We start from the raw sequence: 25,654 nt of genomic DNA on the forward strand, positions 1-25,654 counted from the left end.
CTAGTTTTCACCTTATGAACTAACACCAAAATATATTTATGATAAAGAATATGAAGAATCAATACTGCCCTAGATCAAAGCAGAAATGTATGATATAATAGCCATTTTTATAATTAAATATGGGTAAATCTGTTTTCAAAAGAGGGGTAGGTGGTAATGGGCTAGATATTTTCACATATTTCTCAGAAGATGATCTTTAGTCTCTACATCAATCATGATATTAACTTTCTTTTGCTTGAAATTTTGACAAGCCTCAACTACCTTAGCCTTTTATGCTAAAAATCTACACTAGTAAATATATGATAATATTCTGTTCTTCACAAGCAAATGAAATGATCCTAATCTTGTGTTGGTAAACTGAATTACTTTTAATGTAATGGAAGAGAGTTGTGCATTAAGACATTTTTAAATAAAATTATTGATACAGAATTCATGTATCCACTTAAAGTACACAATTCAGAAGTTTTTAGTATATTCACAGAGCTTTGCAACCATAAATGTAATCTAATTTTAGAATATTTTATTCTCCCTGTACCCATTAGCAATACTCTCCATGAGCCTTCCCCTAGCCCTAGGTAATCACTAACCTACTATATGTCTCTGTGTATCTGCCTAAATCTGGACATTTTATAAAAATAGCCTCATACTATATGCAATCTTGTGATTGCCTTCTTTCATGTAGCATAATGTTTTCAAGGTTTATCCATTTCATAGCATGTATCAGTACTTAATTTCTTTTGGTTGCCAAATAATATTTCATCATATAGATAAACCACCTTGTGTTTATCCACCAGTCAGCTGATGTTTATTTGGGTTGTTTCCAGTTTTTGACTATTTTAAATAATGGTACTATGAACATTAATGTACGGATTTTTATGTGGACTTTCAAACTTTATCGTGGAGATGACAGAGAGATAGACAGACAGACAGACAGACAGACAGACAGATAGATAGATAGAACCACTGTGTTATATAGAAACTATACTTAACATTTTGAGGAACTGCCAAATTGTCTTCCAAAGTAGCTCTATCATATTATAATCTCAGCAATATACAAGGTTCCAATTTCTCCACACTTTTAAACACTTGTTGTCTATCTATTTTCATTTATGACATGACCCAGAGGGAAAAAAATCAACCAGAATGTGATGGCAACCCAAGGTGGAATGCAGACTGTGACGAATCAATCTAACCGTATTACAAATAAATTATATAACTAGACTGAAGTGGGTGAAGAAGAAAGGAAATGACCTGAGTAACTGAACAATGGTGTTTTGGGCCAGGCTCAGTGGTGCACACCTGTAATTCCAGCACTTTGGGAGGCAGAGGCAGACAGATCACATGAGGCCATGAGTTTGAGACCTGCCTGGCCAACATGGTGAAACTCTCTCTCTACTAAAAATACAGAAATTAGCCGGGTGTGGGGGCGCACGCCTGTAGTCCCAGCTACCTGGGAGGTGAAGCACAAGAATTGTGCTAACCTGAGAGGCAGAGGTTGAGGTGAACTGAAATTGTGCCACTGCACTCCAGTCTGGTTGACAGAGTGAGATTCTGTCTCAATAAATAAATAAATAAATAAGTAAGTAAATAAAATGGTGTTTTGACTAGCTACTGTAAGGTTAAAGACAAAATCAGTTGTACACAAAAACTATAATTGGTAAATTTGTTTCTCACAGAGCTATGGGTTAGATTTGTAAGCTACTGTATACATATACCAGGGCTTAACAAATAAAGATATATATTGTATATAAAGGGAGCCAAATTTCTCACTGTGTGAGAAAGAAGGTACAATCAAGAAAACAGGAAAAGTTAGAATGACCCTTGTAATGTTGGTTCAAAGTCAGAGGTATCAGTAAAACGCAAGGGCTTTCAACATATATTTATGTGTACGTGTGTATATATATAAAAATAGATGCAAAAATAAATAAATAGGTGACTGTGCCCATGGTTTAGTGCATATACATGTTTTCTAGCTTTGAGAGAGCCTAGAGACAGTGACACCCCAGTAGTAATGGGCACACTTAGCATCCAGATTTTGATTTCTAAATACCATTCTCCAGCATCCTTGTAGAAGACATCGATCCCAGGGTTGTAGCCGGGAAAATACAAGATGAACCTGGAACATCTTGGGGTACAAAATTAAAGGAAATAATTTTTACGAAAATGATGGGGCATGCCAAAGGTAAACAGGAGCCATCTCAAAGAGCTCTCAAAGGTCAAAGCTAAAAAATTTGAGTGCAAAATATATGATGATTAGATTGGATTATAAACCAATAAATAAAATAAATACTTATGTGTCCAAACTGACATAAATATTTGAATAAATAAATTGAAGAGAAAGGAAAGCTTTTCCCTTAAAGGATAATTCCAATTAGTGAACGAAAAAGGAATAAGGGAAGTAGAAAATCATCACTAGAACATCACAGTAATAATTGCTATAGACAAGATCCAGTTATGGATGACAAATTTAGTGGATATGTTTTAAGAAGAAACACCTATTTGTACAGTTACAAAAATCTCCTCCAAATAAATATTTATCAATTACCAATGAAAAAATCATAACTTCATAATGGAGAAATCTGGAAAAAGCTACCTTAAGCAAATAAGCAAGGTTCATTCACATGTAATAAAACATATTACTGCATATTAGTACATAAGACATAAGACATCATATCCTTGATATGATACAAAGATAAGAGTGTATTATTTGTGTGACAATCTTCCCAACAGTATATACATTCAATCTAATCAAGAGAAAAGTGAGGGGTACTTCATGAAGTTAACTGACCAGTACTATTCAAATTCTCAAGTTTATTAAATTTGAAGAAAGCCTGAGGAACTGTCACAGATTGAAAAAAACCAAGGAAGCATGACAACTTAAGATAACGTGGGATCCAGGGTTAGATCTTACGACTCAAAGAGGATATTAATGGAAAAATTGTTGAAATCTGAATAAAGTTGGTAGTTTTCTTAGTATGTTAGTTTATTTGTTTTGATCATTTTACTTACCATAGTTATATGCAATGTTCATATTAGGGAAAGCTGGGAGAAGGACGAAGGAGAGCTTTCTGTGTCACTTTTATAATGCTTTTGTAAGTCTAAAAGTATCTCAAATTTAAAAATTAGGGGAAAAACAAATAATCAAACAACTATATTAAGAAATGGGCAAAGGACTTGAATAGACAATTCTTCAAAGAAGATTATGAATGGCTAATAAGCATATAAAATGATGCACAGCATCACTGATAAGTAGGAAAATGCAAATCATAAGTATGAGACACCACCTGATACCCATTAGGATGGCTACTACTATAAAAACGGAAAGCACATGTTGGTGAGAATATGGAGATATTGGAATCTCTGTGCCCTGTTTGTAGTAATGTAAAATGGTAACGTTGCTTTGGAAAACAATATGGCAGTTCCTCATAAAATTAAAAATAGAATTACTATATAACCCAGCAATTCCACTTCTGGATATATGCCACAAAGTATTGAAAGCAGGGTCTTGAGGATATATTTGTATGCCCATGTTGACAGTAGCATTATTCATAAGAGATAAAACCTGGAAACAACTTAAGTGTCCACTGACAGATGAATGGAAAAACAAAATGTGGTATAAACATACTATGGAATATTATTCAGCCTCAAAAAGGAAACTCTGACATACACTTCAACATGAATGAATCTGGAAGACATTATGCTAAGTGAAACAAGCAAGTCACAAAAAAGACAAACATGATTCTGCTTATATAAGGTACCTAGAGTACTCAAAATCACAGACACAAAGCAGAATGGTAGATCCAGGGTCTGGGGGGAAGAGGAATTGAGAAGATATTGTTTAATGGGTATAGAATTTCAGTTTTGTAAGATGCAAAGAGTTATAGAGACAAATGGTGGTGCTGATTGCACAACAATATGAATATACTTAGTATCACTGCACTGTATACTTAAAAATGGTTGAGAGTAAATTTTATCTTCTGTGTAACTTTACTACAGTTTAAAAAATAGAAAAAAATTTTAAAGGGGAAAAACATGACCATGGGCAAATATCTGTGAGATTACAAGTGTGTTCAGGAGTTTAATCTGGTAAATTCTATAAAGGTTTATGTGACAGTCTCATGATTTTGGTTTTTAAACTTTTTTGACAGGGTACCCACACTAAGAAAAACATTTATATCTTATCCAAGATGTTTATGTGTATACTTATTTTAGTTACATATATATATGTATATGTATAATTTATTTTAGTTACATATATAACTATATTTATTTGTTATATAAATATATAACTAAATATATATAATATATATAATTATAAAATAAAATCCTTCCTTCCTTTCCTTCAACTTCCTTCCTTCCTTCCTTCATCATGATGCATTAAAGAGATTTTATGGTCTATTGAAGGGCTGACAAAAACCACTTATGCGTCCCTAACCAAAATTGAAAAACAACATTTATCTGGTCTAGAGTATATATAAACGTGTTATCTGTTACTCAAGTTTTCATATTTCCTCAACACTTATAACTAGACTTGAGCATCAGTCACTACAATGTTTATCACAGGTACTTTATGTATAACTAAAATAAAATTTAATAAAACATACCCTTAGTATTCACTATTCTCTCCCTCCCTCCCTCCCTCCCTCCCTTCCTTCCTTCCTTCCTTCATCATGATGCATTGAAGAGATTTTATGATCTATTGAAGGGCTGACAAAAACCACTAATGCGTCCCTAACCAAAATTTGAAAAACAACATTTATCTGGTCTAGAGTATATATAAACTTGTTATCTGTTACTCAAATTTTCATATTTCCAAAACACTTATAACTAGACTTGAGCAGCAGTCACTACAATGTTTATCACAGGTATTTTATATATAACTAAAATTAAATTTCATAAAACTTACCCTTAGTATTTCCCTCCCTCCCTCCCTCCCTCCCTCCCTCCCTTCCTCCCCTCCTCCCTTCCTTCCTTTGCTGGTCATGATACATTAAAGAGATTTTATGATCTACTGAAGGGCTGACAAAAACCACTAATGCATCCCTATCCAAAATTTGAAAAACAAAATTTATCTGGTCTAGAGTGTAAATAAACATGTTATCTGTTAATCAAATTTCTGTATTTCCAAAACCCTTATAACCAGACTTGAGCATCAGTCACTACAATGTTTATCACAGGTACTTTTGGAAAAGTGCTTTGCTTCATAATAATTACCCTATCAGAAGGCCTCAATTTATAAAGCATTTAGTTACTTAGTGCTTATGACGTAAATGTCACAGTTCAAGTACTTGATGGAGAAAAATATTAAATGAAGTGCACTTGTTTTGAAGATAATTTCATTTAGCATCTCCAAAGCAGGGGATAATTAAGTTACTCTGTCATACAAAATGATGGAGGCTTTAAATAAGTAACAGCTGGTTACCCCAATGATGGAGCAACTGCAGGGCAGCCTTTGGCAAGGACAGCTGTGCAAACTCAGCCCACGTGGTACGCAAATAGACCTACATTATGACTAAGGAAATAGCTGAAATGGAATGACATCTAGAAAAGCAAAAAAACAACAAGACTGGGATCCCTTAGCATGCATTTCAATAGCATTAAGATATAGAAATATTAATAAGAAGTGCTCATCTATCATTTCTGTAGTCAAATGTGTTTCTCACGTCTAGACGAATTTAAAGTTAGTCATTGCAGGGCAATGAGCACATTCATAAGAAAGTACCCTCATTTTTAAATGTAACTACTACTTAAATTACTTTACTTACTACTACTTTTACTTACTACTACTTTACTCCAAGCAAGAAATTAAATTCAATTTATTCATATTTTAACATTAGTACAGTGATTTTTTTTAAAGTTATGCTAAATCTTTATTCCAAAAGTTTTTGTTTCTTTAAAACCTCTTCCACGGAAATCAAATTTGTAACAGTGACCTTAAAATGTGAGAGCTGGCCTTCGTAAAACAAACGTGCTATTAAAAATATTAAATAACTGACCCCATTTTTGGAAAGCTGGGTAAGGCTGTGCTAGCATGGATCTATCGTTAAACGTTTTTTGTTTTTTTTTTTGAAAACTTTTTATTGTCACTCGATCTGCATGTAAACAAGGAGGAAAAAGTGAGTCTGACTTATGTACTTGATTTTGTTTACCAGAATTTTGCTTAAGTCATACTATGGACCTTTCTGACTTGAAATCATTTTCGAGTTGGTTATCAGACTAACTCTCCTAACTAGTATTTGTATTAATTATTTTTAAGCAAGCATTTATTATCATTGATTATGCAAGCATTATTGAGCAAGCAAATGCAAATGCAATAAGCATTTTTAAGCATTAACTATGTGTTAAGCACAAGGTCTCTGTCCTGAAGAAGCTTACTAGCCACTAGACAAAATGGACACAGAATCAAGAAATGTCATAATAATATGGGGTAACACATGACCCAGATTTGGAGTTCAGCTAACAGTTTCCCAAGGGAAATGAGTGCAATCAAGGTCTTAATAGACAAATCATACATAGGCAGCAACAACAACAACAAAAAAAAAGGGGGTGGGGGGCATGAAAGGCTTTCCAGGGGAGGAAAATAGCACAAGCTAAGGCATGAGGGCACTAAATAGCACAGTGGGGTGTGTCCTCGATCCCCATAAGTAATTGCAATATGTGAAATGATGAGTGGTGTCTGGGGATGAAAGCTAGAGGATCTTCATAGGGGCCTTTATGGAAGTGTTAAGGAATGCTAAAGAGCTTGGCCTTTGAAGGGATTTAAAGAAGAATTAAAATCAGACCTCTCTATTATAGTATAGACACTGGGTACAAGGGAGACAAAACTGAAGACTAAAAAATCTTCAGTGGTTGCCCCTCTGCCAAATTAGCAGTTGTTAACCTTTTCGGCCTGAGAACTAAAACTACAGTCCTAAGCTCCTGGACCCTCCCTTGGCCAAAGGGACCCCAGAGAAACCTTAAAGAACTGAGTTCCTGGCCAAGACAGAATGGGGACATGCCTCATTATACTCCCTCCTTTTTGCAGTTTAAACACAATTGACCAGCATTAATGATAAACTAGAGATGATAACCAACAGAGCGAACTCTTTTCATGGCAATAAGATAACAAATTATAAACATGACCTAAGGCCATGCAAGGCAAGCATTAAGTCACGTACCTCTACACTTGAAGAATAAACTCTATTATAACTGCCACAAGGTTTTCCTTTTTCTAGTAGGTAAACAAGCCCTGGCCTCTAGATAAGCAATATAATTGCAGCTCATTCATCAGACACTGACCAGTTGAACCCCCCGTCCAACAAACCATAGCTACATAGCTCTGATTGACTAAGAGACTAATTTCAGTAACTTTCTCGTGGTAAGAGACCACCAACCACTGGGCTCAGTCTGGCCTGCTCTCAGAGGCTGCACATTTGAATGCCTTCATGCTCCTGCCTCACCTTTTGACATATAAGACCTAATTGTAATGCATTTAAATGTCGTTTCCACTCCAAAATGAACATGGGACACATGTAACATACATGTTTGTTCAGTATGCATGTGTCAGGACTCCCTTTGTGAATATCCATAAGACCTCCTCAAACCTGTTGAATATGTTTACTTGGCCAACCTTGTCAGCATATATCCCTGTTCCACTCTCCCCTCCCTCAAAGTGCCTTCTGGTTTCGCCTGAAGGTTACACTTCCCAGCCTGTCAGAATCACCATCTTGAAGGCTGGAACCATTCGTAAGCTACATATATAGATCTCACAATTTTTAAAAATCTTGATAGGGCTCATGACCCCTTTAAAATCTTACAAAATATCGAGGATACCTCAGTGCTTTGTTTTTTGTGGATTACGTCTGTTGATATTTACCATATTTGAAATTAAAACTGAGAAATATTTAAACAATTATGTATTTATTTATAATAACAAAGGTAAGCCCATTATATGTTTAACAAGGAATACATTTTATGAAAATTACAACTCAATGCTGGTTATGACTCAATAAAGAGATCTTGTGATTTACTGAAGGGCTTACAAAGATTACTAATGTGTCCCTATGCAAAACTGGAAAAACAAAATTTGACTAGTCCAGAGTACAGATAACCACAATGTGTTAGCTGTTAATCAAATGTTCATATTTCCAAAACACTTATAACCAGACTTGAGCATCAGTCACCACAAATTTTATCAGAGGTACTACAGACTAGTGCTCTGTTTCAACAGTAATTACCATATCAATTTATCAACCTCAAATTATAAAGCATTTTAAGTTACTTAGTGTGCATACTTAGTGTTCTTTTCAAAGCAAAGTGTTATTGAGGAGTGGCTTCTTTTTTTACATTTTTGCAAATATCTTTAGTTAGTGGCTTAATAGAAGACAACTAAATTCTCATATTTTCTTCTAGATTTAATCTATAAGTTGTTTTGGTAAAGGTTTATAATGAAAACCCCGCTTCAGACACGCAATATGGTTGAAAAATTGAGACGTATTTTAATTTTTCTAAGAGATGGGGTCTGCAATGTTGTCTAGGCTAGATTCAAACTCCTGGGCTCAAGCGGTCCCTGTTCTCAACCTCCCAAGTAGCAGGGACTACAGGCATGTGCCACCACACGAGACGGAAGTAATATTTTAATAACTTTTTCTGATAATTATAGATTTATTTATTTTGATACTACCCTATTACTTGACTGGGGTAGTTTCTGGAAGGTTAATGGCAGTGTAGAAGCCAAAACAATGTCAATGACCTTTCCCTATACTATTATATTAAAATCCATTGGTCAATTTTGCACTTTAAATGGATCTTTCATCTATGCATCTACTTTTTTCATGATGATTTCCTAATATCATACATTTCTCATTTGGTAAACATTCGTACACTGAGCTGACAGATTTTACTATAGAATATAAAAAATACACTTGTTAATATCGTCACCAATCTCACCAAAAAAAGTATTTAAGAACGGAAATGCTATCAAGCTCATGGTGATGGAATACATTTTCCAAAATTCTACTTTTTGCTTGAAAGCTCACATTTTATCATTGGCAACAAATACTGTCAGTTTGTTTCTTTGAAGTGACAAGCTTACTCCACTCATTTTCAAGGAAATATCCACCATATGTCCAAGTTTGAATAAACATAATTATCTGTCAGTCATTCCTTCAACTAAAAATGGCATTCCATGAAAAAAGCAACTAGATCAGCTTTCAACCTAACCTCATAAGAGCTTTTCCTTGAAGCAACCATCATACTTTAAGGATTAGAAGTTCTTCTTTCTCATCATGTAGAAACCTGGTAAACTGAGATTTAATAAACTTCATAATTTTCCTTGCTTTATCAATAGCATTCAGCTGTAACTGGACAGAAAAAAAAACAAAAAACAGGAAGTTCATGGTAGCGAAGAACAGAATGACTAATAACTGTTTTGGTGGTAGTGCCAACATTCATATTAACACACTAGCAATTCTGCCCACCAGTACTTTTGTGCCAGCAGTGTAGATGTCAACTCAGTGAAAAAGACAAATGATGGTTTAGTATTATGATGAAAATAGGGTTCATCGTTCTTCACAGTCCCTGAAAATGTCTTTGGGTATCCTGGATGTGTTCAGGTCACACTCAGGAAAATGTTATGCTAAAAGCCTCAAGTCTAAATTCTTATACCTAACATCCATCCACAATCTTGTTCCACTCTATTGATAACCTTGAGTAAAACAGATTTTTTCACTTTTGTAAAACACACCTTTTTCCCCTCTCATCTTCTAATTTCACATTCTTCCCAATATTTACAATATATAAATCATTCAATCTTCCAGGAGCCAGTCCAATTCATCGCCATTCCAGATCTCTGAACTATTTTCTATACTATTGGATATGTACTCACTTATATACTATTTATGATTTTTCTTTGGGAATTAGAATTATCTTCCAAACTAGATTGTCAGACTTCCAGAGGTGAAGATTTTTAGTTCTTCTGACTTTGCTATAGTATTCTGCACAGTTATGCATATGATAATGATGATAATATCTTGAATTTTATAAATCTTAATTTTTTAGTGTAGGTCACAAATACACATGTGCCCCTATTGTATTTGTAGGGAAAACATTTAATATTATAAATTATGTTATCATGTCTTCTACTTTGGGTAACTAATATATATCAAATATATACTTAATATATTATAGAATATCAATTTATAAAGCAGTGTATAATTTCAAGCATACAAATATGACAATGCAGCCATATATAGTGGAAAAAACCTAGGCTAGGAAATAGAAGATCTAAATTTAACTGTCCACATAGTATAGACTTAAAGAAGCACATGGATTTAGAGAAGCCACAAAACATATTTGAGTCCCAATGTCTGCAACAGTGAAATGCTTATCCCCGTTCTGATATTTAAATGACGTATTTTATGAGAAAGTTTTTTTTTGAAACAATGTAGTAATCAAATGCAATCTTTTGGCATAGCTATTACCCTGAGTCCTGCACATTAACTGCAAATCAATATCAGCTATTAACATAACTACATGCACAGCATGACAATTAAAAGAACTAAAGACACACAATGGAGACATCTTTGAGAATTAAATCCAAGTACCTTGAGGTATGCAGTACTTGTCATAGAGGATGATTTGAATATTGGCAAAGTACTATGTGTGCACAGATTTCATATATAATCCACATAAAGCAAAGACGCCTTATTACCCGGTATTAGTAGTCTAAATCTGAAAGGTGTAAAGAAAAACAAGACTTTGAAGACGTATTACAGATTTATACAGGATACCACAAAGAAAGATCTTGTAAAAAATCTTTAGACTTTTCTTTTTCCCTTTAAGGTTTTACCCTCATCCACAGCAACCTTAATTTCTCTGAAAGTTATGTGTCATAATTACTTTTATGTGTTAACTTAACTAGACTTAAGGGATGCCCAGATAGCTGGTAAAACATTATTTCTTGGTGTGTGAGTGAGTGTGTTTCCTGAAGAGATGAGCATGCAAAGCAGTAGACAGAATAAAGAAGATCTGTCTTCACCAACTTAGGTGGACAGCATCCAATCCAGTGAGGGCCCAAATAGAACCAAGACGCAAAGGAAGAACAAATTCCTCCCCCTCCCCCACCAGAGCCAAGACATCAGAGTTTCTGGTTCTTGGGCCTTTGAACTCTGAGACCAGTTACTCCCAACCCCCCTGTAGTTTTCAGGCCTTCAGCCTCCAACTGGGAGTGACACCATTGCCCACTGGCTTTCCTGGTTCTCAAGCTTGCAGAGAGCAGATGGTGAGACTTCTCAGTTTCCATAACTGCATATGCAAATTCCCATACTAAATCTCCTCTTACATATCTATATCTGCGGCCTACTGGTTCTGTTTCTGTGGAGAATTCTGGCTAATACATTACCCTTACCAACATTTGGGTCTTGTTTATTTCATCTTTCTCCTCTTATCCAAGTTCTCTAATATGACCACCTCTTCATTTCAGACAAGCCCTTGGTAAGGGCACATTCCCTGCATGCTGACAACTGCTGTTCTCTTAAAAATGGTAGCATATTCTGCTGAATAAAGCCTTCCATCTTGTTTATAAAATCTTGAAGCCTTAACAGTGGAAAGACTAGCCTTAGAGAGCTTTGGCAATCAATAATCACAGCATCTTGACAAAAAAGGGTATTAATAAGCATGTGTCATTTCTTTTAAAATTAGGTTAGAAGAAATAGATCCTTAGAGAACAAGAACTATGCCAATGGACAAACGTTCTAGCCTCCTATTATTCAGATGGATATATAGAGGAGGTGGTCTCCATGTTTCAGAGGTCTTAGGAGAGTGGAGGCCCCATGGACTCTAGACACACCCTTACACACCTCTGCTGCCTCCCCTGTTTCAGTCACAATGTTTCCTCACAGATTCTTCCTCCCAAATAAACTGCCTGCATGCATGTCTATGTCTCAGACTTCTGCTTTCAGGAAAACTCAGACAATCACCGTCTTTTATGCAGCTTACACTACATTGTAGACTTTTCATATAGGTGATCTCTAATTCTAGAATAATCCTAGTAGCCTCCCATTTTAAAAATTGGAAAAGGTAATTTAAAGAGGTTAAGTAATATGTCCAAGGCATAGTAAATTCTTTACAGAATCCTGAATGTGAGTATTATTTTCGAACCATTCAACTCCAAACTTATACTCTTTCTCCTTTTATGGTAATTTTGTCAATAATAGCCAAAATGAATTGAAAACCTTCTATATGATGTACCATTGGAAAGAATGTTTCAAGTGATCAGTGAAGTTTGTTGAATCTATAATTACCCTATCCACCATGATGTCTGAGGTTGAATGTTTCCAACCAAACTGGCTTATCTTGAAATTTCAAAAATAAGCACTGTTCTACAACCGTTACTAGCATCTTATGGCTTTCATGAAGTTATATACTATTTCACAGAAACATGATTTTCCTCTCCATAGACCCTAGACAATTTTCTCAATGTAGCCCATCTTCTTTTATTTTAATGAAACTTAATCCAGGACTATTACAAATGTTCAAAAACAAAAGCGTTTTAAAATAGTGTGTCTATTATCTTCATTTTACAGGGAACTACAATGAAATGGATATTGTTTTTGTCATTTACATTTTCATAAAAACTTTATGTGCTTTTTCAAAGAACTTCAGTTTAAGAAAAAGATTATTCACAAATTTACAGTGCTTGCATTTTATAAGTATGCAAATGTAAATGTACAGAACTTAACAAATTTTACAAATTTTCATACCGTTAGAAGTAATGGGGCCTCATACAAACAACAATGAATGGGAAACAAAGACCATGTGAATTCTCCTGATTCTTTTCTTATAGCTTCTGTGAACCTTTAGCCAATTTATTTTATCTTTCTTAGCCACAGGTGTCATGTTTGTAAAACCATGTTAACAATAGGAAAGGCTGTTGAAAGAATAAATGAGATAATATTTGGAAATAACTTTAGCAATATAAGAAAATAATGAATCTGTGGATGTGGAAAGGATCTCACTGTTTCCTGTCTAGCCTTCAATAAATTTCAGAATATTTTAATCATTCATACAGATCATATATATTTCCACAAGACCTGTTTCCTCATTTATTTGTTTGAATCAGTATCTAAATAGGAAAGTGGACTTCAGAGAAGAATAATAAAAAAGCCATCCCTTCTTTCATTGCATAGTATCAATTATGCTCAATTCCCACAAGCCTTAAAAATTCAATGATTACATAATTAACATTTCTGAATAACTTTTATTTTTCTTTGAGGCAGGGTCTCAGTCTGTCACCTAGGCTGGAGTACGGTGGTGCGATCTCAGCTTACTGCAACCTCCTGGGCTCAAATGATCCTCCTGCTTTAGCCTCCCAAGTAGCTGGGACTATAGGCATGCACCACCATGCCTGGATAATTTTTGTATCTTTTTTAGAGACGGGGTTTCGCCACGTTGCCCAGGCTGGTCTCAAACTCCTGGACTCAAGTGATTCACCTGCCTCAGCCTCACAAATTGCTGGGATTACAGGTGTGAGCCACTGCACCTGGCCTATAAGGAACTGTTTATGTGCTAGGAACTGTACTAAGATTTTTACATTATCTTAATTTAATCCCAACACAATCAATGAGTACAGTGTTATTATTCACACTATATACATGAAGAACTTTAAGATAGAAAGGAAATTACTGACTTACACAAGGGCATGGTCACAGGGTGATTGTTAAAGCTGGCCTCCATCTCAGGTTTTCTGTCTCTGAAACTTTGTTCCTACTAATTCACCTCAAGCCAGTTCTTTATTAATATAGTTGGGTCACAGTAACTATCTGGTAACATTTAACTAAATAGAATTGTTTTCATAAGAATTAAGATTCAACCCATATTTTGAACTTAGGTATTTTTATTATTTTGGAATCACTGAGTTAACAGATAAAGATGTAAATAGCTTTATAGATAGGTATTCCTTATATATAGATTTCAAAATTAAGTAATTCTGTCAGATGGACCTCTTTTCCTTGGCAGAGGTGATAGACAATCAAAATGGTAACATAAGCAGAAATCACAAGTCGACACATGATATATGCATTTGAATATTGCCTGGAAAGCCTCTCCAAGTCCATTAAATTATTTTTCCTAGGGTGAATGTAAAACATATCAGTATGGGCACCAGCACATGTGCGAAGGGAAGAAAGCATTGGGAAAGTTTGTTTGTGTATTGATTTTGTTGGATAAAGTTGAGAATTTTTGTTTGTTGAGCTTTGTTTTGTTGAGCTTTGTTTGTTTTTATTAGAGAACAGAGTGGATAAAACATTTTCATCTAGTAAAACTGCTCCACTATGGAATCCCCTTTCCCTTTTTATGGTTAATAATCTTAATTGATCTTAATCTATTCAAAGTGGAAAATAGAGGGTAGAAAGCATCCAGCTTTAAGAAAGCAGGGCTATGTTACAAAATGCAACAGCAGGACTAACAGCAGGAGAGACTGGGGTCACTGTCCAGATACAGAGCACAGAGTATCTCACATGTGGTGAGAGAGGGCAGAGTTAGAGCGAAGAAGCAGAGCAGAGGACAGTGACCATGAGGCTTAGGCGGTTCTGGCTCGAAGAAATTGAGTGAAGTTTCTCTCAGACAGAGAAGAGAGTAGCATGTACCAAAAGATTAATAGGGATGTGCTAATGGAGCAATGATCATCTTTCCCGGAAGAACAGATTTTAACACAAGATGGGACTGAGCTGTTGAAAATTCTATGGCAACCACTATGTGAGAAGAAAATGAGTAGCTGTATGCAATAGCACAGGTCTACAGCTGCGCTACCTTTGACTAACGCAGCCTCCCTAAGTAGAACATGTGAAGCTTTGCTCCATCAGTGACTAGCTCTGTGACCTTGACAGAGTCCCTGACCTCTATCAGGGTGCTTTTTCATTTTCTAAGTTGGAATAATAATGGCTACCCTAGAGTTTTCAACTACCAACTCTATATGCAGTTCTCCCTAATCTGTCTTTTACCCAGACATCTATATGGTTCCCTCTGGAAGGGGGAGTAATTTATCTGATCAGTAAGATTAGACAAAGGCACTAGGAATGCGTAACTCAGCCCTGCCAAGTTTATGTTTTTGGGATCAGCTGGCTGTAGAAGGCTGTCATGAGGAGCAGCTTCCCTGGCATGACTGGCAGGGGAAGTCACAGCTCTGCGGAGCTGCTTCCTCTCTCTGATAATGAGTCTCAAGAATCACACTCATGGCCACTGGGGAAGCATGGGGTATTAGGAAGCCAGAGTTCAGCTCTCTAATCCAAGCTCTACTTTCCATCACATATTTACCAGTAATGAAGATGACCATTTTCTCATTCATTTATACCTCCATATTAATTGTGCAATTGGTTTAGAGTCTGTAGGGAGACAGCAGCATGACTGTAATTCTCACACACTAACAACTCTTCTGATGCAAGTAGTGTAAATTGTCACCATTTTTTAAAGTTGCAATATCACCATTAGCTCAAATAGATGCACACACTACTTACTATTATGTAAACAAAACATCATTTCAAACAATCTTAGAGAATGTCTGCAAACCACACGCAGGTTGTCAGTCATACACTTAATTCTAATGATTTTCAGGTAGCTTTAGGAGCCCTATCATCTATGACATGATAAAGACATCCAAAAATTCAAGTCTTGATGTTAATCATTTATATTTTTATCTCTTTAAATAAACAAAAACAGTAAAATATGAGCCCAGAGAAGAAGCATAGTAACTGATTGCAAGCACTTAGAAAATGCTTGAGGAAGACAGGTAAATCTTTGACACTCTACTTATTTTCTTTTTATTTCAAAGAGCTCCTAGTACATTTCTGCATACATTACACACACACACAAAGACAGAAAGTAACAAAACACTTCAAGTCTTCAAAAATAGAATTGTACATTTGAATGCCATAGCCACTGCCACTGTTAAAAATGCAGAATTTCAAATTGCACTTTTCTTGAAAATACATTGATACTCTGCTGGCTTAGTTTACTAAAATCACAAAATACAACGCCTAAGAGTGTACAAAATACATTCCCTTTGAAGAAAACTGAACATTGGAAAATACTATATACTTGGTTAAAATAGATGACTGCTCGTGAATATGTTCAATTAAGTTCAAAGCAAAATAATTTCCTAAGATCTCTTATTAATGGACTTTATAATACCAAAAACATTAAATTAAAAATCAATTAAACAAATAAAATGCAACCCTTACATATTAAATAACTGTTTAATCTTTCAAGTGGATATGACCTATTAATAATAGAAGCATTTGCAAACTGTGCAACAGTTCTGGTACAGAGCCAGGTCCAAGGCTAAGAGGTCAGGAAAAAAATAAGAATATGACAGTCCCATGGCATGAAGTTAGGCATCTGAAAACGTGTGTGCTCCAAAACAGAGGTCAGTTAATGGAAAATTTTAGAAGAGAAAGTTGGGTTAGAGCCAGCACAGCAAGCTGAAATCTGCTCTTACCTAACTGGCAAAGTCAGACCAGAAATACAAGCAAGAATAAGAAAGACACAAATATTTTAGAACTAAATGAGGTAAGTAGACTAAAATCCATTAATTGGGGGATGCTACTGAGAAGACTGCAATGATGACAGTACAGCAATCAGAAAAGATGTGACACATCCAGAAGGATCTCAAGGCCTTTTATCATTTTTATTCTAATTTTGATATTGAGCTGAACTTGGAGTAGAAACCAACTACCCAGGAACTTAAATGTAGAATTCTAATTGGGATTTCCAGTTTGGGTAAGGGAGTATATGAATACACAGTGCCTGCTGAGTAACAAGTTTTAAATTATTATTTTTCATCTGGTCCTCATCATTAGGGGTATCAAAAGTTTTGTTTGTAAAGACAGCAACTATCTGGTTAAATTCTTATACTGAGAACGAATGTGTAAAGATCAGCTCAGCCTACTCATGTGACAATTGTTAATGAATCCATTAACTCATATCTTTCTGCTTCTTAAGCACATATTTAAATATGCATAAATGTGTGTGTGTTTGGGTAATGAGAAAAATTTGTTGGCAAGGTGGCTAACGAAAATATCCAATCTCACTAGGCATACGTGCATGCTGATAAAATTGTTTGCACAGTAACTGTTGGTAGATTCAAACAACTACTTCAGAGTAGAAGCTCAAAGCCAAATACTTCAAAACTGAAGGGACTGAATTCAGTGGTCTTCTAACTGGATTCCACAGGGCTCCAGAGTCCTGAGCTACTTGATGAATGTTAGGGTGGGGGTAGTAAATAGGACTCTGACTCTCTGAGCTCTGTTTCTTCTATTTTACACTTAGAGTTTCAGAGAGATTTTATTTTGGAAATAATTTTTGCTACTAAAAACAAAAGGAATGCAGAAAGGAAAGGACAGAGAGAAAGGGAGGAAGGAAGGAAGAAAGGGAGACAGTGTGGAAGGAAGGATGGATATACGGAAGAAAGGAAGGAGGTAGGAGGGAAGGAAAGAAGGAAAGGGAAGAAACGAAAGAGAATCTGCAGATTTTATAGATTAGATAAATGAGGTCTACATACCTTAAGTGACATTTCACACATTCCTGACACAGGTAGAACTAAAACTCAGTCTTCCTTATTCTTCTATGACAAGAAGTATTGATGGCTCCATTTGTGCTTTTAGAAGAGAAGTTCTCAGATTTTTTTGAGCCAAAGGTTTCAATAGTTCCACTACTGTGAAACCAAGACACATCTGTCACTTGCACTTAGATGCTAACAGACTTTTCTGAACGAGGAAATGTTCACTGGAACCATGTTTTTTGCCATCGTTTTTTACTAGAATATCTAATTTGTCAACCTCTCCCTTTGAAGGTAAAATCATCCAGAGGTCAGTTGCACTTAAACTATGATTATCACTCAATAACTCGGTGGCTTTGGACAAGTTCTTCCCTGTCTAATCAGTTGCAGAACTAGTAGGATGGTTGTAGGAGAAATTGGGGTGATGTAGTTAAATCACTTGAGTGTTTCTCAATTGATTTCTCACATTGTTCCTCACAAAAAAGCCTTTTTAGACATTATTTTCCTAATCTCCCCCCCACAGGTGAAATTTAAACAGCATACATGCACTGTATACCTCTTTATGTACTGAATGCATATCTGTGCTTTATTCATAATAAGAGAATGAGTTTTGGATTTTTTTTTTTTTTTTGCTGCTGCTGTGCAAATAACCAATTTTAATCCCTTTGGGGGCAATAATGTTATCATTGAGAAGGTATGAAATAGGCTAATATTTAATACCATACACAAATAGCAAGGGTTGGGCATAGTGATTATGAGCCAATTTCAGCGTGTGGATAGAATGCAGAGTACCAGAGAGCCAACATCCCTCCAAAATAAAAGATGCAGCAGATTACAGAAAGATGATGGGGGCACACATGAGAAATACTACTAATTATTACAGTAATGTGTACTGTACTATGCTTTCAACTTTACATTTGCCAATTCATTAATTTTCTTAAAAGCCTTAAAAACTATTTAAATATGAGGAAACTTGGGAGCAACAACAGTGGATGGAGGGCCATCCTTCAAACCTGGGTATGTCTGTCTCCAAAATTCAGGGTATTTTCATTAGCACTCTGACATCTAACTTGGCATTTTAAGCTGCAACTGCCTGAAGTTACTAATTTCTAAAGAGGGATTCACTGGCTATTCTTGTCAAATGACTGGCTGTGTATGTAGATATATTCGAAATAATATTAGATGGTCCCAGTTGGAACTGCCCTGCCTGGACATTCTCCTTGGCCTGTTGATGTCCTTGCCCCATTTCTGTCATTATAACAACCCAATAATTGGTTTAACCTCTTAAAATTATTCTAGATGGAATGGTTTTTATCCCCTATGAATACATTACAATCTTTCTGTAAATGGTAAATGTAAAACTTAAGGGCTGCATTGCAACGTTGGGTTAAACCCGTATGTACTGATGTATAAATGTGAGTCTTAAATGATAGGCAGTAGTAACCTATGATGCTGAGAGTGCCCTATTATAAAACGGAGGGAGAAATGGGCATCAGTAGATCAGCCATGAAAGACAAGCATTAAAGGGCATTTGTCAGTAGAGTGTAGGTGGGGACCTCTTGCTTCTTGAATGGAACATAAAGTGCAAGGGAATAATTGGAGTGCAACAGAAATACATTTTTAGATGAGGGCTAGAAAATCAAGCCTAAGACAAAGAAATCCCTTGACCCTGAAATATCTCCTAGAGAAGAAAAGGATGGATTCTGGAAACTTAAGGAACTCAGACACAAGTCTCCAAGGGTTAGATAATTTCATGATGAGAGGTGGGGTCTGAAGCCATAAAAATTCTTGGAAATTACCAAAAGACATAGGAGAGCTGTGTATACGGAGGGACAGCTTTGCATATTGAAGCTGCAAGTACTTTAAGAAACTCAATTGTTCTGATGTATATTTGTACCTAGAAAACTGTTTCTTATAAAGAAAGGAAAAAAGAAACATCTTGACTGCTCATGCATGATAAACTGTGTGGGATCAAGTAAAGGAAGATAGTATTAAGGGCCAAAGAGAGGCATAAGCTCTTTCTCAGGACCATAAAAGCAAGGGTATTAGCCTTTGACCCATGACCATTAGTGGGGGCCTCAGAAGATTCTGCTTTCTGCAAGAGTACCTGGTTTCCAGGGTACCATTTTAATAGACCATAGCATGGGAAGCCCCTTGCTGGCATACCATCATAGACAACTGAAAACGGCTCTACAGAAAACACTCACTCACACAGGAGGCAGTAAGTCTCCAGAAAAGTGGGGGGACATGTACTGTTGGCTGTCTCTATTGCTTTTGTCTGATTAATGAGCTGGCAGTTGATGGTAAATATTTTATAGCATAATTTACTTCTTCACTTTTTCCACCTTACTTCTGCCCTGTGCTTTACCAATATATTCAAGCTTCATTGGCAGTACCTGTAAAAGACAAGCTCTAATGGACATAATGTAGCTAATGTGTCAAATTAGGACTTTCATTATGTGAAATTTGATTATGGGTCATAAATTACGTATTTATCTTGCATTAACTGATGAAGGTAACTTGTTAATTAGATGAAATCAAAGTTATTGACCTATAGTGAATCTCTTCTACATTTATTGTTGGCATAAAATAAAATATCATGACAAGAATACAAATGCATATTTATTTTGTTACTAGATATGTAACATTTTTTAAAAATTCCTGGGAGAACAGATGTGAAATTTGGGAGAATCTATGAGAGATTTACTCAGAATTCATATTTATTATCTTTTCCGTTTATGAAGTTGTTGTCTCTCAACAAACCTCTCCAAATTTGAATCTCTCCAAATCCACTCTTCTATATACTCTGTTTGTGGTGCTGGGGGAAGAGTGTCTGCAAACTACATTTTTTTTTTTATTTTCTTAAGGTTCTATTTTATTTTTAATTAACAAACCACAATGAGATGTCACCTTCTACCTGTTAGATTAGCTATTATCAAAAGATGAAAGAGCTTAAATGTTGGCAAGGATGTGTAGAAAAGGAAACCCTTCTATACTCACTGTTGGTGATATTGTAAATTAGTAAAACCATTTTGGAAAATAGTATAGAGGTTCCTCCAAAAAAAAAAAAACTAGAATTATCGTATGATCCAACAATCTTACTACTAGGTATAGACCCAAAGAAAATGACATCGGTATGATGAAGGGATGTCTGCACTCCCGTGTTCATTAAAGCATTATTCACAATAGTCAACCTAAGTGTTGTTTCCATTTGAGTATTTCTACACAGTGAAATACTATTCGGCCTTTAAAAAAAAGGGAATGTCTGTTATTTGTGACAACATGGATGAGCTGGGAGATATGTTAAGTTAAATGAGCCAGGCACAGAGAGAAAAATATCATCTGATCTCACTTATGCGTGGAATTTAAAAACGTCATAGAAGACAATCTAAAGAACTCATAGAAGTAGAGAGTAGAATGGTGGTTACCAGAGGCTGGGGGGAGGTGGGTGGATGGGGAAAAAGGAAATGTTGGTCAATTAGATTGGAGACATAAGTTCTAGTGATTTACTGCACAGCAAGGTAATTATAGTTAATAACACTGTATTCTATATATACAATTACTTTGTTAATTAAAAATAAAACTAAAAACAACAATTGTATATATTTATGGGGCGTGATGTTTTGATATGTGCGTATATACATATATACGTAGAAAGATCAAATCAGGCTAATTAACATATTTATCACCTCAAGTACTTATGATTTCTTTATGATGAAGACATTTAAAGTCCACTCTTTCAGCCATTTTGAAATGTACAATACATTCTTATTAACTATAGTCACCTTGCTGTACAATAGAACACCAGAACCTAGTCCTCCTGTCTTACTGAAATTTTGTGCCCTTTCATCAACATTTCCCCTTTTCCTGTCCTCTCTCCCCTGCCCCCTCAACCTCTGGTAACCACCATTCTACTCTCTATATAAATTCCACTTTTGTAAGTTCCATCTGCAGGTTTCTTCTTGTTAGTTGGATTTCTGCTTTGTTCTTCGAATAGAAGGTGCTAGAGGGAGATGGAAGACAGGAGGAGAGAAGGGATTTTTCCCTTCCAGAGTCCCAGCAACAACCCTTAACCCAACAGCAACTTTTGCTTCTGGTCTTCAATTCCTGTCATCCTCCTAAAGGGTTTCATGTACCTCCCCATAAGAACTGGCACAGTTGGCAGCATTCTTCCTCAGAGGACTAAGCTCTACCTCTGGTACTTAGAGGAAAGATCAGAGATCAGAACAATATGTTTGGAAAAGAACAGTAGGAAGGAAAACAATGCATGAAAAATATTCAGTTAAAATATTCAGTAAGTTTAATATGTAAAAAATACTCAGCACGGTGTTTGGCATGTAGTAATAAATGTGAATAAGTGTGACCAATTATTATACAGCAGAGGCTCAGCTTCTGTTAGTCATCTATAGAGGTTTTCCTTACATAGCTTTTAATGCATTATGATATACATTAGGAGGTAATGTATCAACCAAAAGGGGGTTTGACTTTTTAATTGAATAATGTCAAATTAACATAGTATGAATGTTTGCTTATTTTGTAGACCATTAAGCTATTTGCTATTTGTTATGCTCTCCCTTAGTCTTTGTTTATCAAATCACATGTTTATTTTTTCTGACCCTTTATAAACTATTTTAGAACAGTCCTTTATTCTTATAATTTTTTAGTGCTTTCTAAAATGCTGCTTACATACAATAATAAATGTACTTATTTGAATTATGGTAAGACTTCATACTCATATCATGTATTTTATGAGTGTATTTCCAAAACTTCTGCATGAATTACTTACGTTTTACAGCAGAACTAGTTACAAAAGTAAATGCTAATACTTCCATTCTACAGATTTTTAAAAATTAAGTACAGAAGTGGAAAATGATTTTTTAAAAGGCAAAGGATAGTCAAAGGAGCAGGGCTTCATTATGGAGGCACATTGAACATTGGCTACCCAAAAATCAACTTTTCAGTTGATTTTTTCAACCATCACATTTTCTGAATTTTCAAACAAAAAATAGTTGGAAGGGGAAACAAATGTGTTCATCACATATCAGACTACTCATATGATCCCAGCTGAGAAGAACCAAGACTCCAAAAGATACCTGCACTGAGACTGGTTAACCATGTGAAGCCTTAGAAGCACTGGCAAAGTGGCAGTCAGTGAAGAAGAAAGAGGAAAAGACAATAGAAGAAAAGGGAGAAGGCTGACAGGTCAGCAACAGTGGCAGAGATAATATTTCTTAGAAACAACAGTGAGTAAACAACATTAAATAAGAGCAAATACTTGTCATTGGGGATTTGGGAAAACTTTGAATCAGGCCGGACAAGTTCTAGAGACTTAGCTAACTCTTCAAGAGATCCAAATCTCAAGTCAGAGAGCAGGTTCAGGCAGGGTGGCAGTTGGTGTCTGACAGTATAACTATCAATGAAGGCTGCTACAAGAAGGGAGAATGAGTGTCAATGGGGTCCAGGAAGAGTCGGGGCAGGTCTGGGCAGGCCAACTGTCAGCAGTACAGATTTTAATCAGCCAGAAGGACCTGGGTGTAGTGGCAGGGTGCCTATTACAGAAATGATCAATGCCTGGTAGATACAGGTGCTCATAGAATGTTTGCAGGGCTTGATAACTTGATATGATTTACTTTTTTAGAGCAAAAACCAGCAGCAAGGTTGGATTGATTACAGTTACCATATGACCTGTTGGGATTAGATATAAACTTTTGGTCCTAATGGAGAAGAACCTGTCATTATAAGGCTAAGTGAGGTTGTCTTTAAATGTTTGGGATGCAAAGGCTAGAAATGTTCATTCTAAGAATGAAACATAAAAAAGAAAAAAAGACTTGTAATTTAGTGATCACTTGAGAATGGAAGAAAATGACAAACAGCTACCTGTCCTTTAATGTTACACCATCTCTACAGTGACAAGCTAAGTACCCACATATATGGTGGCATGTTTGAGAGGTATGCAAGGGCAGCACAATCAAAACAAATGTAGTTTAGAAGCCTCCCTCTAAGATCTGTTTACAGGAGGAGGGGAGAAAGAAGTTTCCAAATCTACCTGCTTAAAGTGTTACAGATAGATCCGATTGCTTAGTTCTCCCTCTAATCCACAAAAGTGTCTGCTATATACAAAAATATACTAATTTTAGAGAAAAATATGAATATTTGCATTTGACTTCAAAAGAAAGTTTGCTAAAATATTTACAGAAGAGGAAAACATTGGTTTATGTACTGAGATTGTTTCAGTAAAACTCTGCAGATACCTGGTGTTTTAAAACAATTATATAGTACAAACTAGAGCTTCTGGTTCTTATTCCTTATGATTTATTCTTGGTAAATGACTTGAGAATGCTTTTAATTCCACCTTAATGGTTATTTAAAACATTTTAAAAATTAGAGGCATAAAAATGCTGCTGACTGGATGTGTACTTTATAATACATAATTTGGGGTGTCCAATATGGACTCAGAGTTAAAAGAGTAGACATAATTATTAAACATGATCCACAGACATAGGTTGAAGGGACCTTTCTGTTTCTATGGGAACAGTCCTGTGCTCCATATTCCAGCTGGTTCCAGTGGTGCTGTTAAGCAAAGACTCTTCCTGGATGTCAGCACAGGAATGATCATGAGTCTCAAGCCTTTCATGAGGACCTCATTCCTATGGCAAGTGGGATTGGTTCACTGCTAGGGAATGAGACTCAAACAAGATCAACCAAAGTGATTTCCAGGAATGGAGACAGTATTTATCTTCCTACTAGAGTCACTGAAACAGGAGGAAATGATCTGGGATTGCTAGCCTTCATCTTCTCCTGTCATCAAGCAGCAGCATATCTGGATCTGGGGGAATGAGGCTCACATGATTAAAATAAAATAAAATAAAAAGCAAAAGTACAGCAAAGAGAGGGACAAGATGGAGAAGGCAGTCATGCCAGAGTACACAAATATAAGATGAATATGAGTTGTATCTCTGGAAAAGCCTGATCAGACATGAGACTGTTTCTGTAACTAATTAGACTAGTATTTCTTTCATAAACCAAACTTTCGAAAGCAGAAGATCCAAATTACTTATATTTTATGAGGATTAGTTTGGGATTATCAAATATTGACATGAGCACAGGACTAGAAGGCTAGGAAAATCTGGCAAGCCTTTTTTTCATTGTTGTTAGCAATTGTTTCATTGTTGTTAGCAAATCTGTTGTTAGCAGATATTGTGGTACTTTATTCATAAATCTGGCATATTTACAAAAAAAGGTTTAAAATCTTTTAGCTTAATGTGTACTTCAGAAATATGCATTATATAGTAAAATTTTAAAATAGTCTGTACATTAAAAAATTCTTATAAAGTTAACATCCATGACAGAGATAGTTGCCACTCACCAAATAGCAGTGTGTATTAGGCCCTCCTTCCCCAGGTCTCATGTAGACAGGGGAGTTGTGTAGCTAGGTCACACCAGTGACATCTGAGCAGAAGTGGCATCTATCACTTACGGGCTGAGGCATTCAAGAGCCACTGTTTGATTCTCTAGCTCTCTGCTTTCACCTTCCAGATGGAAGCATTTCTCATTGCCCATTGATCACATGAAGGATGTGGCTCTGGAAGGTCTCCTAATTCACCGCAGTCTTTGCATGAATTAAAACAAACAAAAAATAACTTCTGTTCTTACGAGCCACTGAGAATTAGGGGTTGTTCTGTTACCCCTTCACTAACAGTCTATCTTCACTAATATTTTCCTTTTTATTGCCCATCTCATTTTTCTCATGGAGTTTGGTTTGATAATATCTGGGTGAGACACTTTCAAAAGCCATTTTGGAAATGTACACGTGATTTACAGACACTCTATTTTCACAGAATCATATGTCTTTATAATTATCAAATGTTTTATAATGACTGACTAGTCAAGATGTGCATATTACATTTTAACAAGATACAGCCCCTTATTAAATGTAAAAGAAAACATTTTAAAATTCACTATTAGTTTCCTATTCTCATATTAATTCAGTGTTTCATCTGTTATTATAAGTCAAAATGTCCTTCCTTGAAAACATGGACTTTTTCTACTGATTTATTTATTTCCTATTTTCTACATTTATGGTGATAATGTGTATGTATGGTGCCAGTGTACTGATGACTTTGC

General features: G+C 35.6%; 1 protein-coding gene and 1 long non-coding RNA gene across 25 annotated transcripts in view; one reads left to right on the plus strand and one right to left on the minus strand.

Annotated features, from left to right (window-relative positions):
• GRM8 (glutamate metabotropic receptor 8) overlaps nucleotides 1-25,654 on the minus strand; it is an 814,344-nt gene that overhangs the window by 40,228 nt on the left and 748,462 nt on the right. The window lies entirely within an intron of this gene.
• The window catches only part of LOC101928357 (uncharacterized), a 41,965-nt gene continuing 32,797 nt past the window's right edge, over nucleotides 16,487-25,654 (plus strand). Inside the window, exon 1 of the long non-coding RNA XR_927937.3 lies at nucleotides 16,487-16,542. This is a non-coding gene — a long non-coding RNA (uncharacterized LOC101928357). The remainder of the gene's footprint in view (nucleotides 16,543-25,654) is intronic.

Source organism: Homo sapiens, chromosome 7, assembly GCF_000001405.40.
Source record: "Homo sapiens chromosome 7, GRCh38.p14 Primary Assembly".
NCBI lineage: Eukaryota > Metazoa > Chordata > Mammalia > Primates > Hominidae > Homo > Homo sapiens.